This window comes from Homo sapiens, chromosome 5, assembly GCF_000001405.40.
Source record: "Homo sapiens chromosome 5, GRCh38.p14 Primary Assembly".
Lineage (NCBI taxonomy): Eukaryota > Metazoa > Chordata > Mammalia > Primates > Hominidae > Homo > Homo sapiens.
In genome coordinates, this window is record NC_000005.10 from 130202400 (window position 1) to 130207836 (window position 5437).

At 39.4% G+C, this 5437-nt stretch overlaps 1 annotated feature.

Moving 5' to 3' along the window:
- Positions 3874-5073: an enhancer, noted in NCBI's record as "P300/CBP strongly-dependent group 1 enhancer chr5:129541966-129543165 (GRCh37/hg19 assembly coordinates)". NCBI's record gives its function as "activates an origin of replication core promoter dependent on BRD2, BRD4, P300/CBP, MED14 and CDK7 cofactors, with strong dependence on P300/CBP, by STARR-seq in HCT116 cells {active_cell/tissue: HCT116}" and the evidence as "EXISTENCE:reporter gene assay evidence [ECO:0000049][PMID:35650434]".

The following is a 5437-nucleotide window of genomic DNA, read 5'->3' on the forward strand; positions in this document are numbered from 1 at the left end:
ACAAAGGGGGTACAGGCCCCATGCAAGTCCAAAATCCAGCAGGGCAGTCAAATCTTAAAGCTCCAAAATGTTCTTTGACTCCATGTCTCGTATCCAGGTCATGCTGATGCAAGAGGAGTGTTCCCGTGGTCTTCAGCATCTCTGACCCTGTGGCTTTGCAGGGTATAGCCCCTCTCCTGGCTGCTTTCATGGCCTGGCATTGATTGTCTGTGGCTTTTCCAGGCACATCATATAAGCTGTCCATGGATCTACCATTCTGGAGTCCAGAGGATGGTGTCCCGCTTCTCACAGCTCCACTAGGCGCTGCCCTAGTGGGGACTCTGTGTTGGAGCTCCAACCCCACATTTCCCTTCTGCATTGCCCCAGCAGAGTTTCTCCATGAGGGCTCCACCCCTGCAGTGTACCACTGCCTGGACATCCAGACATTTCCATACATCCTTTAAAATCTAGAGGGAAATTCTCAAACCTCAATTCTTGACTTCTGTGCACCTGCAGGCCCAACACCATGTGTAAGCCACCAAGGCTTGAGGCTTATACCCTCTGAAGTCATGGCCCAAGCTGTACGTTGGCACCTTTTAGCCACAGCTGGAGCATCAGGGATGCAGGGCACCAAGTACCTAGGCTGCACACAGCAGGCAGGCCCTGGGCCCAGCCCATGAAACCATTTTTTTCTCCTCAGCTTCTAGGCCTATGATGGGAGGGGCTGCTGTGAAGACCTCTGAAATGCCCTGGAGACATTTTCCCCATTGTATTGCCAATTAACATTTGGCTCCTCATTACTTATGCAAATTTCTGTAGAAGACTTGAATTTCTCCTCAGAAAATGGGTTTTTCTTTTCCATCACATTGTCAGACTGCAAATTTTCCAATTTTTTATGTTCTGCATCCTTTTAAACATGAGTTCCAATTCCAAAGCATATCTTGTGAATGCATAAACCTGAATGCTTTTAACAGTAGCCAAGTCACCTTTTCAAAACTTTGCTGCTTAGAAATTTCTTCCACCAGTTGCCCCAAATCATCTCTCTCAAGTTCAAATTTCCATAAATCTCTAGGGCAGGGGCAAAATGCCCCCAGTCTCTTTGCTAAAACATAACAAGAGTTACCTTTGCTTCAGTTCCCAATAAGTTCCTTATCTCCATCTGAGGCCACATCAGCCTGGACTTTATTGTTCATATCACTATCAGCATTTTAGTCAAAGCCACTCAACAGGTCTCTAGGAAGTTCCAAACTTCCCACATCTACCTGTCTTCTTCTGAGCCCTCCAAACTGTTCCAGTCTCTGCCTGTTACCCAGTTCCAAAGTCACTTGACATTTTCAGGTATCTTTAGAGCAGTTCCCCGGTACACCTGGTAACAATTTACTGTATTAATCTGTTCTCACACTGCTAATAAAGACATACCCAACACTGGGTGATTTATAAAGGAAAGAGGTTTAATTGATTCACAGTTCCACATGTTGAGGAGGGCTAACAATCATGGTGGAAGATGAAGGAGGAGCAAAGTCACATCTTACATAGCGGCAGGCAAGGGAGCTTGTGTAGGGGAACTCCCCTTTATAAAACCATCAGATCTTGTGAGATTTATTATTCACTATCACGAGTAAAGCATGGAATTATAATTCAATTGCATCCCACCAGTTCCCTCCTACAACACATCGGAATTATAGGAGCTACAATTCAAGATGAGATCTGCATGGGGACACAGCCAAGCCATATCAATAACCAACTACACCCAGAGGTAACAAACATCCTAAACTCTGTCACCATAAATTAGAATTTTTCTCTTTCTAAATTTCATATAAACAGAATCAAACAGTAGATACATTTTAGGTCTTTGTCCTTTCACTCTACATGTTTTTGTTATTATTTATGTAGTTACATGGAGTAGTATTTTTTATTGCTGTATGATATCTCATTGTATGAATATGACACAATTTTTCATCAATTATATTATAGGTGGACATTTGAGTTGTTTCAGTTTGGTGCTGTCATGAATAAATCTTCTACATTCTTTTTGTGGATGCATGCTCTTGTTTCTCTTGGCCATATAAACCAAGGAGTGGAATTGCTAGAACAAAAAATATGTCTATGTTTAACTTGATTTAGTATGTGCAAAGTCTTATTTAAAGTGGTTTACTATTTTATTTACACTCACCAGCAATGTACGAGAATACTTTTTCTTCACAATCTCTCTGTCACATGCAAATCTTTCTAATTTTAGTTTTTCTGATATTTAATTTTGGTTTTAACTTCCATTTCCCTGAGCTATCATTGGATCATAATGTAACAGTAGATTGGGTAATGCAGAAGGAAAAAGCCCTGGGAATTTTAATTTCTGTTAATGAGTGTCTAAGATCTAAAATTTCTACTTAGTTCTATTTGTTTTTCTCCTGAAGTGTTCCATATTTCCACCAATTATACTTATCTTTTCTTTTAAATTGTATAATATATGTTTATTATTGTATTAAAGTCCTTGCCTGCTAATTTAATAATTTGCTTTATCTGTGAGCCTGCTTCTATTGACTGTTCCTCTTGATTCTAAGTCACATTTTTCTGGTTCTTTGTATGTTTTGTAATGATTTCATTGTATTCTGGGAATTGTGAATAACAGAATGTTGGAGACTAAATATACATGTTTTGTTATTTTCCAGAGAGTGCACACCCTTTCCTGTGCCTAGCAGCTTAGCTGAGGGTTAATCATTCAGACTCCTTCCAGCATATGTTGAGCTGGCACTCAAGTGAAGCTACAAATTATTGATTTTACCTGTGATTAACTTAAACTTTAATTCTCTTTGTGATCAAAGAGATATCAAAGAGATATCACCTCTTTGATACATTAATTATTTGTGCAGGAACAGGATTGGCAGAAGGTTTACATATTTTTAGTTCACCTTTATATTCAACCCTAGCTGGGCTGCAGAATCCAATCGTCTTGACAATGTACTATATGATTTATTTCTGCTCATCAGCCCCTCCTATAAAGTTTTCTGAGCAAAACTAAAGGATAGAGAAAAATTATTGACCCAGTTGTTTGTCCATCTATTTGACTTTTTTCCAGATGCAATCCACCCTGCCAATTTGTGCTGTTGTCAAAAGCCCAGATAATTTTCTCTTTTGCATGTACATTTTCTCCATGTATCCTGACCTATATTCAAACCAGGCATGTTTCTTCAAGTGTGAATGCTGATATGGCTCTGCTTACTTATAAAGATCTTGATTTACTCCAGAATTTACTACCTCCTTGCCAGTTACTACCATCTGCAATATTCAGAAATACAAAGATGAAACTTATTTCTTTATAAAATCAATTATATAGATCATATACTTCAATTTCTGCTAATGATAAAAAAGTTAAACATGCCAATTCAAGTAACTCTGTCATGTGTGTTTAGAATTCAGTCATTTTGGATAACATCCAGTCTAACCCAGATTTCCACCCTCCTCCTTCTCATTCCATCTCCTTGGTTTTATACCCAGCATCTAATGTACCAATTACCATACTGGAGCTAGGAGACAGTTATTACACCACCATACCACAGTATGGCCTTGCTTCTGGCTTTTGTTGAGGAACAGCATCTTACCCAGTCTCTGTCATCCTAAACCAGTAGATTTCGCTAATAATCTACAGGGATCAGATCCTTGTAACCTGTATTCTCTTTGCTCTCCTTGCTTAGCGGTATCTGTTTCTCTCTTAGAACACTGGTCTGATGCTCTCTTTCACTACTGTGAAGTACATAGGACTCTAGGAATCTACTCTGTGAACCATTTGCCTAAACCATTCCCTCAGCCATTGCTTGGGTACTGGTTAGATGCACTTGCTTCTAAGGCACAAGAACCTTCTTAATTCTACACAAAGTGAAGAACAAACAAGTCTGTCACTTCTCAGATTCACCCAAATGTATGTGATATTTCAGCCTGACCCTGGGATCTCAGCCCAGTGGAGAGCAGAACCTAGACATTTCACATTTGTATTAATGTTCTTTTCTACTTCCAGCAGAATTCTGTCTCCTAGATACCACCTCCTCCTCCTGTAATTCAACAAAAGTTTGCCCCGCTCCACACTGGCAGAAAAACTTCTGAAATTCTCATTTGTAGTATTTTTATATTTTATAATTTGTGTTATTAACCCTATATTTATAGATCTCCTGGCTTTGAAATTTCATATGAGAAGTCAATCACATGGAATTCAAGAAACCCTTTTCTCTGGCTCTTGAAATTGAGAGCTGTGGTTTTTAAGAGTGTCATTTCTATTGAGGGTTTAATTAACTTCTTTGTTCTAGCCATATTTCCCTTTCCAATCAATGCATATACAACGCTATGCTCCCTGAATAGTGGGATAGATTAACAGTGTAAAGAAGCATGAGAACACGATTAAAATCTCAATACATAGCCCTAACAATCAGGTTTCTGACAGGAAGGAGATGGCACACTCAGAATGCAAGAATGAAAAATGTTTAAGGAAGGAACTGTTTACCAAATATGGAGATGGTTGAGGTAAGCCCACTATAGGTGATGATGCAAGGGGGAATTATCTCTAGGTAAAGGGTGAAGTGATTGTTTTTTAAAGAAGAGAGAGCAGCTATGCTATTTTAATAATTGTAGGAATGTTCACAAATCACAGGCAGGTCACAATAGCTAGAAATGGGCTTTGTGAACTACTAGCATTGTATTCAGACTTTGAAAGAGCATGAACACAGGGTAAATATTAAGGGATTCATTTTGAGATCCTCAAATTCTCTAAATTTGTTTTTATAAAGCTGATGTGCCCAAGATAGTGGGGTTTTTTTGTTTTTTTGTTTTGTTTTGTTTTGTTTGTTTGTTTGTTTTTTTGAGACAGAGTTTTGTTCTGGGATGGAGTGTAGTGGCGCGATCTGGGCTCACTGCAACCTCTGCCTCCTGAGTTCAAGCGATTCTCCTGCCTCAGCCTCCTGAGTAGCTGGGATTACAGATTTGCACCACTAAGCTCAGCTAATTTTTGTAGTTTTAATAGAGACGGGGTTTCACCATGTTGGTTGGCCAGGATGGTCTCCATCTCTTGACCTCGTGATCCGCCCGCCTTGGCCTCCCAAGATAGTGTCTTCTTTAAAGGCCTCAAGGTGGATGAAGAATGAGGCAATTATTGCCTGTGTTGAGATGTTCTAAATTCCAATGTATTGTGTAGTGAGGCAAAAGTCATGACAAGTTTAATTTAAAAATCTTGCCACTTCTTCTTTTATCAGTCTTTATAAAAATCTATCACTCTGAAGGAGAGAATGGTAAGAAGTGGCTATGGCCTTAGATAGAAGAACATAGCCATTGTCAAACCATATCGTCACAGGGAGGGAACTACGGGACTAAATATTCCCCTAATTATTTTCTGCCACTACCCAGACTGATGCTAGTTCCTGCTATTGGTTGAAACCTGCCAAAGACAGAAGGAAAGAAATATAGTTGTAGCACC